At 39.6% G+C, this 16,694-nt stretch overlaps 1 pseudogene, besides 3 other annotated features; it reads right to left on the minus strand.

Annotated features, from left to right (window-relative positions):
- Window positions 1-593: an enhancer, noted in NCBI's record as "OCT4-NANOG hESC enhancer chr1:78620646-78621238 (GRCh37/hg19 assembly coordinates)". NCBI's record gives its function as "activates a minimal SCP1, AML or CMV promoter by ChIP-STARR-seq in naive H9 embryonic stem cells {active_cell/tissue: H9 hESC(naive)}" and the evidence as "EXISTENCE:reporter gene assay evidence [ECO:0000049][PMID:30033119]".
- Window positions 3,647-4,177: an enhancer, noted in NCBI's record as "H3K4me1 hESC enhancer chr1:78624292-78624822 (GRCh37/hg19 assembly coordinates)". NCBI's record gives its function as "activates a minimal SCP1, AML or CMV promoter by ChIP-STARR-seq in naive H9 embryonic stem cells {active_cell/tissue: H9 hESC(naive)}" and the evidence as "EXISTENCE:reporter gene assay evidence [ECO:0000049][PMID:30033119]".
- Window positions 4,178-4,708: an enhancer, noted in NCBI's record as "H3K4me1 hESC enhancer chr1:78624823-78625353 (GRCh37/hg19 assembly coordinates)". NCBI's record gives its function as "activates a minimal SCP1, AML or CMV promoter by ChIP-STARR-seq in naive H9 embryonic stem cells {active_cell/tissue: H9 hESC(naive)}" and the evidence as "EXISTENCE:reporter gene assay evidence [ECO:0000049][PMID:30033119]".
- RNFT1P2 (ring finger protein, transmembrane 1 pseudogene 2) lies at window positions 14,879-16,271 on the minus strand (annotated as a pseudogene).

Here is a 16,694-nt window from a genome sequence, read left to right on the forward strand (position 1 = left end):
AAGAGGAGGACTGATTGTAAGGTATATCAGAGAAATGGAAAAAAATGCTAATTGAAAAGCATGATGTGGTAGGCAGACTTCAAAGATGGTCCCTATCTTCTGCTATTCATGCCCTTGTGTGATCTTTTATCCTTGATTGCAAGCTGGACTTAATGACTTGTGTCTAGCCAAAAGAATATGGCGAAGGTGGTGGAATGCTGCTTCTGTGATTAGGTTATAAAATATAGTGCCTTCTGTCTTGCTAGCAGATCCTCCCTGTGGTTTTCTCAGCTTGCATGCTTTGATGAATTGAAGTAAGCTGCCATGTGGAAGAGGTGCATTGTTAAGGAAATGAGGGCAACCTCTGGCCACTAGCTAGCAAGGAAGTGAGGTCCTTTGCCCAACAGCCTGTGAAGAAGTGACTGCTATGGACAATCACTGCGTGAGCTTGGGAAGTTGCTCCTTCGTCAGTCAGAGCTTCAGATGAGACTGCAGACCCACATCAACACCTTGACAGAGACTGCAACCCAGAGGACCCAGATAAGCCGTGCCCAGACTCATTTCCCATAGAAACTGAGATAGAAAATGTGTGTTGTTTTAAGTTGCTAAGTTTTGGGGGTAAATTGTTATGCAGCAATACACAATAATACAGATTTGACTAGAAAAAGGAGGCAAGAGCAAATTCAAAGGCCATGAAAAAGATGCATATACTGAACATTGTAGAAAATATTGAACTTTTACTTTTTCAGGATATCTTTTGCTGACTGGATGATAGTAGCTATTTTCTTTATACAATTATTTTAAATCTAATAAAATAACGTTCTTATAAAACTAAAAATATGGAAAAGTTCAAAGTAAAAGTAAAAATTACATAATTTCATCACCAAATATAATTATAATTATTAATTATTATTTTGGTTTATCTTTGTCTTCTCTCTGCCTTTTTTTCCTACAAAATCAGGATTGTACTCTAATAGTGTTTTGTATCTTGTCTTCTAATCTACCACATATTACAGACAGTTTCAATTTCATATTCTTCCACAACATCTTTTACATGGCTGCATGGTTGCCTGTTGTCTGATGTTTTATGGTTTATTTAATCACACTTCTATTATTAGACACAATACTATATTTAAATACACAAAATTGGACTACCCCAGAAAATCAAGGTTACATGGATGACAGTTGTGTTTTGTTTCAGGCTTTGCTTTATCTCAGAGACATGATATATTTTCAGAGCTGAAGGAAGACATAATTTTTAAAGCCAGTTCTCCCAGGTAGACTGCACATTACTCTCTAGAAAGTCTCATCAGGGCCATTTCTGTCTCATGTTAGATGAAAGGACTCGATAATTGAACCAAATGACTGACTAGTGGTAACAAGTTTGGGAAAATATTTAGCAGCTATGACCTCGTTATTTAAAAAGTCTTAGACTTTGGGGGAAAAGATGTCACATTGTGAAATCTAGCTGTTGTAAAGCCATAGAGAAATGTCAGAATAAAATACCTGCCTCTTGTCTGCTTTAGTTGAACTTTAAGACTCAAGCAGTTGACCAGGCCAGTGGGACAGAGATCACACTAGAACCAGGAGGGACATGTGCTTGTGACCATGATTTTCACCCTTTGACACAGAAGTAATATACATGTGATATTTTTCAGTTTTTTCTGATTTTTATTCTTGTCTTTTTCAGTGTTATCTAAAATCAGTTTCAAAACAGATGTTTAAAAATTTAAAAAACATATATCAGAATTTCCCAAATAACTATTTTCCTAAATATCATACTGTACCTCCTTGGTTTTTGGCAAGTAATTTTTAAATTGAAGTTGGATGTAAAATTACCAGCAACTTAACAAATGCTAAATTCAGACTTTCTTTGCTTATCTCCAGACACATTTCATTAAACATAAAAAATTAACAAAACATGGATAGTCAGGCACCTGATGCAGTGTTTTGCTCTAGAATCTAGCTGATATGTTAATGCCTGTCCAATTCTAAATTTCTGTGATTTTATAACTTCATCAGTAAGAGTGGTTAGAAATATTACTGTGTGACTCCTAAGGTGGGGTTCAGTTTTCATTCATCTCTGACCACACCTCAGTCCTAATGAAGTCTCCTTTTTTATATCTGCTCCTAGTGAGTTGACTTTGTGTCCACACAATTTGACTTTGATGATTCTTTCAAAAAAGTGGGATTTGAAGAATCTCAAGGCACTTTTTCCAGATGCAAAGTTCTGGACCCTGTGTCCTGGGCTAGCAATTGTGCTCTTGTTCTGAAAGCTTTGAGATGAAGAATTTATTTAATTGAAGCTGTACATGTATTGATTGTGAAATTTTTGGATTTCTTCCCAGGAAATGTACTATATGAAATGGAAAGATTTTTGTATTGCCATAAATATATCTACATGGGAATTCTTGTGGCTTTGAAGAGTGTCCAACCTCTGATTGCATCAGAATTCCCATAATGCTATACATAAAGTAAAGCTGACCTTGCATTTCTAATTAGAACTGAGAGGAACAGAAATCCTAGTGTGTGTGTTTTAAAAAAATATTTTTCAAGTTGAAGACAAAGCCCAAATATTTGAAGGTGGTAGAAAGAAATATCAGAAAAGGACAATTTGAAATGAATATTATTTTCCCCTAATTAACCTAGAAAGGTTACACAACTTTTTAGGGGAAAAAAAAATGCCAGGTGAATGGGGAATGTATATAGTAGGGGTTCTTAAATATTCAATTTTTGATATATTCTATTGCCATAGGGAAGAATTTAAGTATTTCTTGAACTAAAGAAACATCAGGCTTTGATCCAAGATAAAATTTTGGAGTCTCAGCTTCTGTGCCTACTAAGCCTGTAACCAAGCCACATGACATGCCTGGACATCACATGCCTTTCTTTTACCTTCTATTCCCTTCTGCTAAATTACCTTTCTAAAAGTATCCATTTTTTTTCAGCTTCAAAACAATTTAATGAGCACTTATTATGTAGGTTTGCATTATACCTCATGCTGGGATCATAGATGTGTGATCCCTGCTCTCAGGGGAAGCCTAACTCAGACGTAGACTTAACTCTGACTGTTAGCTCTGAATGTAGGATATGGTCGTTTGTTTTAGACATCACTTTTACAAACCTGAAGTTTAATTTCTTTTTTTAACCAGGCATTTTATTTGCTGCTGCTTGTAATTTTGTCAATAATCATCACCACCTGATTTAAGTTGTCCTTTCTGCCTCCTCAGTACTCATTTCTCTCACTCAGGCATTTTTCCCTTGTCTTTGTCAATATGGTGAATATGAAAAACAATAAACTTAAGTAAGATATTTTATCAGAAAGATTAACTCTGAAAGAGTTAATGTTAAATTTATTATGTCTTAGTAAGTTAGAGCATTCCCTGAGGACATAGTAATTGAAAGTCTACATTTAAATTAGACTTTAAATGTTGACTTTCAATTACTAACTTTGAAAATAAGAGATACAAATGTAAATGACATCCCTAATTGCTATAAAGGGAATTGTAGGTTCTTAAGAATTTGGGACTATGAAGTACTATTATTAAATTCCAGACTAGTAAAGTTACTATAAGAAAAAGAGTTGAGAGAAAAGTTTGTTTTAAAATGTTATGTATGGTGATCTTGGCTCACTGCTACCTCCGACTCCCGGGTTCAAGCAATTATCCTGCCTCAGCCTCCCGAGTAGCTGGGATTACAGGCACATGCCACCATGCCCAGCTAATTTTTGTATTTTTAGTACAGATGGGGTTTCACCAAGGATCCGTTCCAAGATGGCCGAATAGGAACAGCTCCGATCTGCAGTTCCCAGCATGATCAACACAGAAGATGGGTGATTTCTGCATTTCCAACTGAGGTACCTGGTTCATCTCATTGGGACTGGTTGGACAGTAGGTGCAGCCCATGGAGGGCAAGCTAAAGCAGGGCGGGGCATCACCTCACCAGAGAAGTGCAAGGGGTAAGGGGATTTCCCTTTCATAGCCAAAGGGAAGCCATGACAGACTGTACCTGGAAAAAACGGGACACTGCCACCCAAATATTGCACTTCTCCCAAGGTCTTAGCAACCAGGAGACAAGGAGATTCTCTCCTGTGCCTGGCTCAGTGGGTCCCACACCCATGGAGCCTTGCTCACTGCTAGCGCAGCAGTGTGAGATTGAACTGTGAGGCGGCAGCCTGGCTGGGGGAGGGGCATCCGCCATTGCTGAGGCTTGACTAGGTAAACAAAGCAGCTGGGAAGCTCGAACTGGGCAGAGCCCACCACAGCTCAACAAGGCCTACTGCCTCAGGACTCCATCCTCTGTGGGCAGGGCTTAGCTGAACAAAAGGCAGCAAATAACTTCTGCAGACTTAAACCTCCCTGTCTGACAGCTGAAGAGGGCAGTGGTTCTCCCAACATGGCGTTTGAGCTCTGAGAACGGGCAGACTGCCTCCTCAAGTGGGCCTGAACACTGTGTAGCCTAACTGGGAGACACTCCCCAGTAGGGGCCAACTGACACCTCATAAAGCCGGGTGCCCCTCTGGGACAAAGCTTCCAGAGGAAGGATCAGGCAGCAATATTTGCTGTTCTGCAGCCTCCGCTAGTGATACCCAGACAAACAGGGTCTGGAGTGGACCTCCAGTAAACTCCAACAGACCTGCAGGTGAGGGACCTGTTAGAAGGAAAACTAACTAACAGAAAGGAATAGCATCAACATCAGCAAAAAGATCATCTACACCAAAACCCCATCTGTAGGTCACCAACATCAAAGACCAAAGGTAGATAAAACCACAAAGATGGTGAGAAACCAGAGCAGAAAATCTGAATATTCTAAAAATCAGAGCACCTCTTCTCCTCCAAAGGATTGCAGCTCCTTGCCAGCAATGGAACAAAGCTGGATGGAGAATGACTTTGATGAGTTGACAGAAGTAGGGTTTAGAAGGTCGGTAATAACAAACTTCTCTGAGCTAAAGGAGCTTGTTTGAACCCATCACAAGGAAGCTAAAAACCTTGAAAAAAGGTTAGATGAGTGGCTAACTAGAATAAACAGTGTAGTGGAGACCTTAAATGACCTGATAGAGCTGGAACCATGGCACGAGAACTTCGTGATGCATGCACAAGCTTCAATAGCCAATTTGATCAAGTGGAAGAAGGGGTATCAGTGATTGAAGATCAAATTAATGAAATAAAGTGAGAAGAGAAGTTTAGAGAAAAAAGAGTAAAAATAAATGAACAAACACTCCAAGAAATATGGGACTATGTGAAAAGACCAAATCTACGTTTGAAAGTGATGGGGAGAGTGGAACCAAGTTGGAAAACACTCTTCAGGATATTATCCACGAGAACTTCCCCAACACAGTGAGGCAGGCCAACATTCAAATTCAGGAAATACAGAGAACACCACAAAGATACTCCTTGAGAAGAGCAACCCCAAGACACGTAATTGTTGGATTCACCAAGGTTGACATGAAGGAAAAAATGTTAAGGGCAGACAGAAAGGTCGAGTTACCCACAAAGGGAAGCCCATCAGACTAACAGCGGATCTCTCAGCGGAAACTCTACAAGCCAGAAGAGACTGGGGGCCAATATTCAACATTCTTAAAGAAAAGAATTTTCAACCCAGAATTTGATATCCAGCCAAATTAAGCTTCATAAGTGAAGGAAAAATAAAATCCTTTACAGACAAGCAAATGCTGAGAGATTTTGTTACCACCAGGCCTGCCTTCCAAGAGCTCCTGAAGGAAGCACTAAACATGGAAAGGAACAACTGGTAACAGCCATTGCAAAAACATGCCAAATTGTAAAGACTGTCGATGCTAGGAAGAAACTGCATCAATTAATGAGCACAATAACCAGCTAACATCATAATGACAGGATCAAATTCGCACATAACAATATTAACCTTAAATGTAAATGGGCTAAATGCCCCAATTAAAAGACGCAGACTGGCAAATTGGATAAAGAGTCAAGACCCATCAGTGTGCTATATTCAGGAGACCCATCTCATGTGCAAAGACACAAATAGACTCAAAATAAAGGGATGGAGGAAGATCTACCAAGCGAATGGGTAACAACAACAACAAAAAAAGCAGGGGTTGCAATCCTAGTCTCTGATAAAAACAGACTTTAAACCAACAAAGATCAAAAGAGACAAGGCCATTACATAATGGTAAAGGGATCAGTTCAACAGGAAGAGCTAACTATCCTAAACATATATGCACCCAATACAGGAGCACCCAGATTCATAAAGCAAGTCCTTAGATACCTCCAAAGAGACTTAGACTTCCACACAATAATAATGGGAGAGTTTAACACCCCACTGTCAATATTAGACAGATCAATGAGACAGAAGGTTAACAAGGATATCCAGGACTTGAACTCAGCTCTGCACCAAGCAGACCTAATAGACATCTACAGAACTCTCCACCCCAAATCAACAGAATATACATTCTTCTCAGCACCACATCACATTTATTCTAAAACTGACCACATAGTTGGAGGTAAAGCACTCCTCAGCAATGTAAAAAAACAGAAATCACAACAAACTGTCTCTCAGACCACAGTCCAGGACTAGACGTATTCACAGCCGAATTCTATCAGAGGTACAAAGAGGAACTGGTACCATTCCTTCTGAAACTATTCCAATCAATAGAAAAAGAGGAAATCCTCTCTAACTCATTTTGTGAGGCCAGCATCATCCTGATACCAAAGCCTGGCAGAGACACGACAAAACAAGCGAATTTTAGACCAGTATCCCTGATGAACATCGATGCAAAAATCCTCAATAAAATACTGGCAAACCAAATCCAGCAGCACATCAAAAAGCTTTTCCACCACGATCAGGTCGGTTTCATCCCTGGGATGCAAGGCTGGTTCAAAATACGCAAATCAATAAACATAATCCATCACATAAACAGAACCAACAACAAAAACCACACGATTATCTCAATAGATGCAGAAAAGGCCTTCAACAAAATTCAACAGCCCTTCATGCTAAAAACTCTCAATAAACTAGGTATTTATGGAACATATCTCGAAATAAAAAGAGCTATTTGTGACAAACCCACAGCCATTATCATACTGAATGGGCAAAAACTGGAAACATTCCCTTTGAAAACTGGCACAAGACAAGGATGCCCTCTCTCACCACTCCTATTCAATATAGTGTTGGAAGTTATGGCCAGAGCAATCAGGCAAGAGAAAGAAATAAAGTGTATTCAATTAGGAATTGAGGAAGTCAAATTGTCACTGTTTGCAGATGACATGATTGTATATTTAGAAAACCCCATCGTCTCAACCCAAAATCTCCTTAAGCTGATAAGCAACTTCAGCAAAGTCTCAGAATACAAAATCAATGTGCAAAAATCACAAGCATTCCTATACACCAATAACAGACAAACAGAGAGCCAAATCATGAGTAAACTCCCATTCACAATTGCTACAAAGAGAATAAAATACCTAGGAATACAACTTACAAGGTATGTGAAGGACCTCTTCAAGGAGAACTATAAATGAACTAAGAGGACACAAACAAATGGAAGAACATTCCATGCTCATGGATAGGAAGAATCAATATCTTGAAAATGGCCATACTGCCCAAGGAAATTTATAGATTCAATGCCATCCCCATCAAGCTACCAATGACTTTCTTCAAAGAATTGGAAAAAACTACTTTAAGTTCATATGGAACCAAAAAAGAGCCCACATTGCCAAGACAATCCTAAGCCAAAAGAACAAAGCTGGAGGCATCATGCTACCTGACTTCAAATTATACTACAAGATTACAGTAACCAAAACAGTGTGGTACTGATACAAAAACAGATCTATAGACCAAAGGAACAGAAGAGAGCCCTCAGAAATAACGGCACACATCTGCAACCATCTGATCTTTGACAAACCTGACAAAAACAAGAAATGGGGAAAGCATTCCCTATTTAATAAATGGTGCTGGGAAAACTGGCTTAGCCATATGTAGAAAACTGAAACTGGACCCCTTCCTTACACCTTATACAAAAATTAACTCAAGATGGATTAAAGACTTAAATGTTAGACCTAAAACCATTAAAACCCTAGAAGAAAACCTAGGCAATACCATTCACGACATAGGCATGGGTAAGGACTTCATAACTAAAACACCAAAAGAAATGGCAACAAAAGCCAAAATTGACAAATGGGATCTAATTAAACTAAAGAGCTTCTGCAGAGCAAAAGAAACTACCATCAGAGTGAACAGGTAACCTATAGAATGGAAGAAAATTTTTGCAATGTAGCCATCTGACAAGGGCTAATATCCAGAATCTATAAAGAACTCAAAAAAATTTACAAGAAAAAAACAATCCCATCAAGAAGTGGGCAAAGGAAATGAACAGACACTTCTCAAAAGAAGAAATCTATGCAGCCAACAGAAACATGAAAAAATGCTCATCATCACTGACCATCAGAGAAATGCAAATCTAAACCACAATGAGATACCATCTCACACCAGTTAGAATGGCAATCATTAAAAAGTCAGGAAACAACAGGTGCTGGAGAGGATGTGGAGAAATAGGAACGCTTTTACACTGTTGGTGGGAGTGTAAATTAATTCAACCATTGTGGAAGACAGTGTGGCAATCCCTCAAGGATCCAGAACTAGAAATACCATTTGATCCAGCAATCCCATTACTGGGTATATACCCAAATGATTATAAATCATGCTACCATAAAGACGCATGTACACGTATGTTTATTGCGGCACTGTTCACAATTGCAAAGACTTGGAACCAACCCAAATGTCCATCAATGATAGACTGGATTAAGAAAATGTGGCACATATACACCATGGACTACTATGCAGCCATAAAAAATGATGAGTTCATGTCCTTTGTGGGGACATGGATGAAGCTGGAAACCATCATTCTGAGCAAACTATCACAAGGACAGAAAACCAAACACCACATGTTCTCACTCATAGGTGGGAATTGAACAGTGAGATCACTTGGACACAAGGTGGGGAACATCATACACTGGGGCCTGTTGGGGGGTGGGGGCTAGGGGAGGGATAGCATTAGGAGAAATACCTAATGGAAATGACGAGTTGATGGGTGCAGCAAACCAACATGGCACATGTATACCTATGTGTCAAACCTGCACGTTGTGCACATGTACCCTAGAACTTAAAGTTTAATAATAAAAAAAAAATGTTATGTGTGTAACATTTTCATTTCTTAATTTAATTTAGTCTTTAATTTAGTCTCTAATGTGTGACATTAGTCAGTTCTGTGCCTCAGTTTCTTCATCTTAATTATTGAGATACTAGGGTTGTTTGGGGATTAAATTAGGTACAGCAAGGAAAGGAAAGCATTAATTTTGATGAAAGGTGTGACCATTTACACCCATTCTGGGCCTTCCTTGTTGTCAGCATTCTATTCACTCAATAGCACGTGGGGTCGGGATGTAGTAGATGGATGCTCTCCTTAAAGACCATGGCCTGCAGGGGACTCAGCTCAGCCTTCCCTGATGAGGCTAACAATTTTGTATTCTTGACATCAACCATAATATGCTAATACTCTCAAAATAATGGCTCTTAACTTTTTTTTTTTTTTTCAGATTCTCGCTCTGTCACCCAGGCTGGAGTGCAATGGCGTGATCTTGGCTCAATGCAACCTCTGCCTCCCAGGCTCAAGCAATTCTCCTGTCTCACCCTCCCAAGTAGCTGGGATTACAGGCACCTGCCACCACACCCAGCTAATTTTTTGTATTTTTAGTAGAGAAGGGGATTTGCTATGTTGGCCAGGCTGATCTCAAACTCCTGACCTCAGGTGATCCACCCGCCTTGGCTTCCCAAAGTGCTGGGATTACAGGTGTGAGTCAGTGTGCCCGGCTGGTTCTTAATGCTTATAATATGAAAATGTTTTAAAATGTAAACCATTAAAAATTATTCCATCAACTGAAATGGAATCAACTGAAAAATTATTCCATCAACTGAAAACAAATAGTGGAAAAAAGCTTCCAAGATTTCAGGAACATTTTAAAGTGAATTTATTTAAGAAACTAAGGCTGAGTGCTGTGGTTCATGCCTGTAATCCCAGCCACTAGGTGGGCTGAGGTGGGAGGATTGCTTGAGGCCAGGAGCTTAAGACCAGCCTGGGCAACATAGCAAGACCCTATCTCTACAAAAATTAAAAAAATAATTAGCCAGGTGTGGTGGCATGCGTCTGTAGTCCCAGCGACTCAAGAGGCTGAGGCAGAAGGATCTCCACAGAGTGAGATCATGTCTCTTAAACAACAGCTGGGCTTGGTAGCTCACACCTATAATCCCAGCACTTTGGGAGGCCGAGGTGGGTGGACCCCTTGGGTCCAGGAGTTTGACACCAGCCTAGGCAATATAGTGAGACCCCATCTCTACAAAAAATACAAAAATTAGCCAGTTGTGACACATGCCAGTAGTCTTATCTACTTGAGAGGCTGAGAGGCTGGAGGATTGCTTGACCCTGGGAGGTTGAGGCTGCAGTGAACTGAGATTACATCACTGCACTCCAGCCTTGGTGACAGAGGGAGACCCTGTCTCAAAAACAAAAGCAACAACAACAGAGAAACTAAAGTATTACTCAAGGTCCCCATTCACCTCAGGTGAAATTTGGCTGGAACTCCATTTCCAGAGCCTTATAATGCTGTAGCATGCAAAGTGCTGTTAGTTTTTCTTTGAGTTTCCCCCTCTAATTCCTTATATTTTGCTTTATTCCCACTTTTTTTTTTCTGTCTGGGAGGAGCCCTGTGTCAAATCCAGAAGCTCAGCCTTTTAACCATTTTCCACAAAAAATTTAACCATATACAGAATTTTATGATTGTGGAAATTTTCCTGAAGCCCTGAGAGGTTCCATTGCTTTCCATACAGCCTTAGGCTGTCTTACTGGCTCTACCCCTCTCTCTTCTACTCAGGGCCTTTCAAAGCCCATGCTCCTACCGTGACCCCTGTCATTGATTATGTGCCCCCCCAGAAAGTAAGGCCCCTCCCTCCCTCTGACAGCTTCTACCACAGAGTGTGTCCCTGGGAGATTAGCCTGCCTGGCTTCCCTAACCTGCTGACATTCTGTTACTCATCAGTAAAGTATCTATGTGTTCATGTCAACTGGTAGAACATATGAGTTAGGCATATCATGTGTACAATCCATAGACAAGGCTCGATGTGAGTATGTATTTCCAGGTCTTGTAATAATTGCAGTGGCCTCTAGGCCCTAGAACCTAACTGATTCAGGATCACTCCCCCAAAAGTCTACTTTCAATAAATTTTTATGGAGACATTATGGATTTATTTATCTTTTCATTCTGGTTTGCTCTTGTCTTAGTTAACTAAAACCTAAAGTTTACCCAAATGAGACAAAATTTGTACGTATTTTTATTTTCCCTAAATTTGTCCTCATTTAAATGTCAAATGTATTTCTCCTTCTTTATTATATTCCAGATCTTAGTAAACAAATTTGGTTTACTTCAATATTTTATAAACATTGATCTTTTCTACTTTTGGCTTTGGCCCTTCTCTACTGAGTAATGCTGATTTGTCTATGTTTTAGCTTCCAGAACTCTTAAAGCACCAATGTGGGAACATTACAGATAGTCAATATTTCTTCCCCATTCAGCTGCCCGAATGTTAATACTGTTTATTAATGGTGTTGATATTAGAAAGGGAGGCAACTCCCCATTTTCCCCTTGCTGGATTTTGTAAGAGAATGCTGACATGATGTTAATAGAGATTCTTTTATAAAAGATTGTTTTGCAATAAAGAAGATTTGGAGCTTTCAATCTCTTTTAATCAATAAGCTAAGATATTGGCTTATTGGACAGTTTTAATTTTTGTTATACAACTACACACTATTTGGAACCAGGAATGTAGCACTATTTTTACTTTCCTTGTGCACCCTCACTTAATTCTCTTACAAAATTGCCCTCCTTCCTTTCCCAGGAAAACATCATATATCACCCAACAATGAAGCTCTTGGCCAAGGAGAGGGTTGCAGTGTTGTGTGTAGATTCAGTGTCTCCAGTGGCTTTTGAGTTTTACATTCCGACATTCAGAAAATACTTACTGAACATCCACCATGTACCTACAAATTGCTATACTTGATACCAGAAGTATAAGAAAGGAATAGAAACACTCCTGGTCTTCAGGGAGCTTATGGTTTAGTGTAGAGATCAGACAAGACCAGCAAGTCAGAAAATAACTATGATGCAAAGCAGAAAGTGGTAACTTCCTCAGGACACAGAGAAAAGAAGAGACTCTAAAGAAGGGAAAAGATACATCCCACTGGAACCAGGGAAGATTTCCTGAGTGGAATCTTAGTGGCACTGTAAACAGGGGTTAGTGATAGGTCAGGGAGAGAATTCGAGGCAGAGGACAAAGCATGGAAGTGCAAAAGTGCAGGATAGGTCTAAGAGCAAGAAATCGTGTGAAGAAAAGTAATGGAATTTCAGCCTGCAAAGGTAGGTTGGATCCGATCAAGAATGATCTTCAGGATCAGGTTAAGAAAGTTCAGTCATCTTGGATTCTCTCCTAACCTCCATAGATCTAGTGAGTCCTATTTTTATAGTAGCATGTGCCCTTATGGTTAACCTGTTTATGTGCCTACCTCTTGCATTAATCTGGGAGTGATTTGAAGTCCTGGTTGATCATTTATTTTTCTATCATAGGCACCTATCAGAACACCTGTCACACAGAACAAGTTTGGTAAATGTGGCCTTAATTGAAGCCCCATTTCAGATTTTGTTTTGTTGCATGAATACCATTTATTACCTGAAAAAATATATATCTCTCTGATATACACATGCACACACACACACACACACACACACACACACACACAGTTTCATGAAGAGGCAGATATTACATGTTGGGAGTTTTTCTCTGATAGTTACTGATTTCTCAATGAATTTGGCAGGACTCATTTGATACGAGTTGCAGCTTTAACAGACTGCAAAAGCTGTTGTCAGCCTGGTGATTACATTTTTCACATTTTCAATTTTGGGGGGGCAATAATATGTGAAAGTTTGGATTTTTAGTTACTTTAGAAGAGCAGATTACTGGCAGCATTTACTATAGCAGTTTTAAATAGAAGAAAAAACACTTTTTTTAAGTGGTCCCCATTTTCTGTAGAATAAAGTCCAAATCTTTGCATGGCATTCAAGACCTGCAGGAATTTTCCCAAAGGAATCCTTCAAGCTCATCTTCTGTCACTCTGTCCCTCATGTCTAGAGAAGTCCTCACTCTCGTCAGGCTATGTCATGAATTCCAATCTTCCTGTCTTTGCCCGTGCTTTTCATTCTGCTTGTATATAGATTAGGGTAACCTAGCAATAAACTCCCAAATCTCAGGGGTTTAATATGGTTAAAGCTGATTTATTTTTTGCTCAGTTAGTAGTCAAATGCAGTTGCTTCTAGAGGGTGGCCTTTCTCCACCCTCAGGGACTCAGGTTTTCAGGGACCCAGATTTCTCCATCTTTGGATCAACCATCTTCACACTGACTCCTAAGATTGTCCTAGTCATCTCCAGTGTAGCCATTGGAAGAGAGGGCACAGAAGGTCATGAGTCAGAGGCTTAATGTACCAGGCCTGGTGCCCACATTTCATTGGTCAGAGCAGAGACACATATTATGGCAGCTGTAAAGAAGCCTGGGAAGCATAGTGTAGCAGTGGGCCTGGGAGAAAAAGGAAGTGGTTTTTGGAGACTAGCTAACCAGTGTCCTCCACAGTCTTTCCTTCTGGTCACAAATGATCTGTTCTTCCTCTCTTACACAGAACACACTTACACTTTCCCCAGGGAGGCAAACCCAAGACCCGGACAGGCAACCCCAAAACTCATGAGGTCAATGCAGCTGCAGCAGCAGCAACAGCAGCACAAAGTTCAGGGTCTGCATATGATGCTCCGTCTTCTCCATGGTGTCTGGATGGGGCTTCTGGTGGCAACCTGTGAATAAAGACAGGCTATTCATCCCTTCCTCTCTCAATACACAGTGGTGGAGCAGGGGCAGGAGGACTATTGTAAAAACTATCTTTTATTTTTATTTTTAAGACAGGGTCTTGTTCTGTAGCCCAGGCTGCAGTGTAGTGGCAAAATCGTGGCTCATTGCAGCCTCGCCCTCCTGGGCTCAAGCCATCCTCCCACTTCAGCCTCCCTAGTAGCTGGGACTACAGGCATGCACCACCACGCTGGCTAAATTTTTTTCTATTTTTTTGTAGAGATAGGGTCTCACTATGTTGCTAGGCTGGTCTTGAATTCCTGGGCTCAAGCGGTCCTCCTGCCTTGGCCTCCCAAAGTGCTGGGACTCTAGGTGTGAACCACCATGCCCAGCCAAAACTGTCTTTTAGAAAAGAGAAGGAAAGACACTCAGCAATTACTGGTTGCTGGAACATATGGAATCCTATCAAGCAGGCATTATGAAGGCAGTCTATCCTGTGGGTGGGGAAGTTCCTTGATTAGATTCTGATTCTGCTTTCTGGGATGGACTCCCTAGCCCACGGCCCTTGGTCCATCCCCTGGGAGGGTCTTCATGTCTTGTCCTCCATGGCCACATCTGAAGAGGCTCTTTGAGAGTGTATTCTTGAGGGCCTTCCTGTTTATGTAAGTGTGGGGTTCTGAGGATTGCTTTAATGCTCAAATAGTCAAAGACTTTTTCAGGTTGGGATCATATTTATTTGGTGTACAATTTACTCAGAAACTTGGGAAGTTTCTGACCTGTTGGCTTCCAGTCAGTTCCCCGTGCTGGTAAATATATCCAAAGTTTGGCTAGATGTCCTTCTCAAGTCCCATTTATTTATTTGCTTCCTTACCCCCATGCCCTTCTTTCTCAATTTAATAGTAGTTACCTTGAGGCCAGTAGGTTTGGGTGGAAAGGCCACATCTTTAATGTAATATTTGCAACAATGCTGAGGTTTTTAAAAAATTTAAATTATTCTTATTTATTGCTAATTTTATTACAGAAAGTAATGCAATATTAAAATATGTCATCAGTAAATTAGTATTTACTTAAAAATCTGTTACAGGTAAAATGTAGCATATAGAACGTTCATTAAACATAAATTTTTGGAAAATTTTAAGAGTTTTTGAGAATGGAAATTATAAGTTTACGCTAAAGAGAATTCTACTTTTTGATAAGATGTGTCTTAAAATATTTTGAAAAATATTTTTATCCTGAAAACTGCATCATGGAAGACTACCCAGATTCCTCTAAAACCATGGTTTCTAGTCATCCAATTGCTGTTTTGGTAACATTAAGAAGAAAATGCATTTACAATTTTATACTGCAATCATCTGTTGAGAAATTAGGATAGAATAAATGTTGAAATATACATCAGGCTTACCATTACTTATAATTTTAAAAAAAGAGAATGCGTTTTCATTCATTTAATCTTTAAAAATGCACAATTGAAATGTACACTTAAATCTTATTCTAATATTCCAAAATGCTTGGAATTTTCTTGTAGCACTGAAAATCCAGCCTAATGCTTTTAGTAATAGTCATTGTAACCAAATGAAGTTAGTATTTTGTGGGGTTAATAGTTTACAGGACTTAATTTCTTTGAAAGTGTGATGAAGTGGCCCATCTTTCCATTTGTGTATATAGTCTGAAAATATGGTTCTGCACAATGGACATATTTTCTGTTAAACCATAGGGCACTGGACTATTTATAAAATGTTTGTGAACTGATGGGAAGAATAAGCTTCTGAAATTCCACCTGATGTATTGAACACATCTGAACAAGCTGCTCAGTAACTTTGTTGCATAAAAAATATTCACAAAAACCTATTTGAAAGTTCCAGATAGCCAAAAAATCCAAAAACTTTAAAATGAGGTAGAATAAAGCTGGGCATATCCTGAAAATCTATCTGGTTATATTACCAAACTCTCCATAGTCAGTAAGGTAACAAGACCACAGTGGTGTGGGAATAAAATTCAGTAATACTGACATAATTTTTCTAATAGGCATATACCAGTAAACCCTCGGATTTAAAAAGGTATGATGAAATAAGGCATCAATATTACTCTCTGTAATATGATTAGCAATACATAAAAAGAGCTTATAAAAAGAAATTTTAGAATGAAGTCTGTAATTCCAGTAATCCAAAGTACTTCCTAGAAGCTCAAGCGATCCAAAGCAAGATTTAGAAAGATTAAGCTGTCAGAAAGTGACTGGGAATGAAAGAGAACAGAAGGTCCTGCTAAGAATACCAGTAACCAAGCATGCTGACTTTGAGCACCTCTCTTTTAGAAAAGCCTGATTTACAATGCTTTTGTTTGCATGCATAAATGTTGTTAGAAGCCAGTTCCAAGAGAAATTCCTTATATTTCTGGAGCTTGGATTCTCAGTACATTATTTAGGTGTGGAGTTTAGCCAGATACAAACGTCTCCAAAACTAAGGCAACAGTTTTACCAAATGTTTCGCCTGTGTTTAATGTGGGCGTTCATCTTTATAGCTCTGTTATAGTAGCCTCTCTAAGTCTTGAAATCAAATGGTGAAAAGTCCCTCAACTTTGTTCTTTTTCAGTTGTTTTGACCATCATAGGCCCTTTGCAGTTCTACAAGGATTTTATTTTTCTTATTTTTTGAGATGGAGTCTCGCTCTGTCACCCAGGCTGTTGTGCAGTGGCATGATCTCTTCTCACTGCAACCTCCACCTCCCAGGCTCAAGCGATTCTTCTGCCTCAGCCTCCTCAGCTGGGATTACAGGCACCCACCGCCACACCTGGCTCATTTTTGTATTTT

The sequence above is a fragment of the Homo sapiens genome, chromosome 1 (genome assembly GCF_000001405.40).
Source record: "Homo sapiens chromosome 1, GRCh38.p14 Primary Assembly".
NCBI lineage: Eukaryota > Metazoa > Chordata > Mammalia > Primates > Hominidae > Homo > Homo sapiens.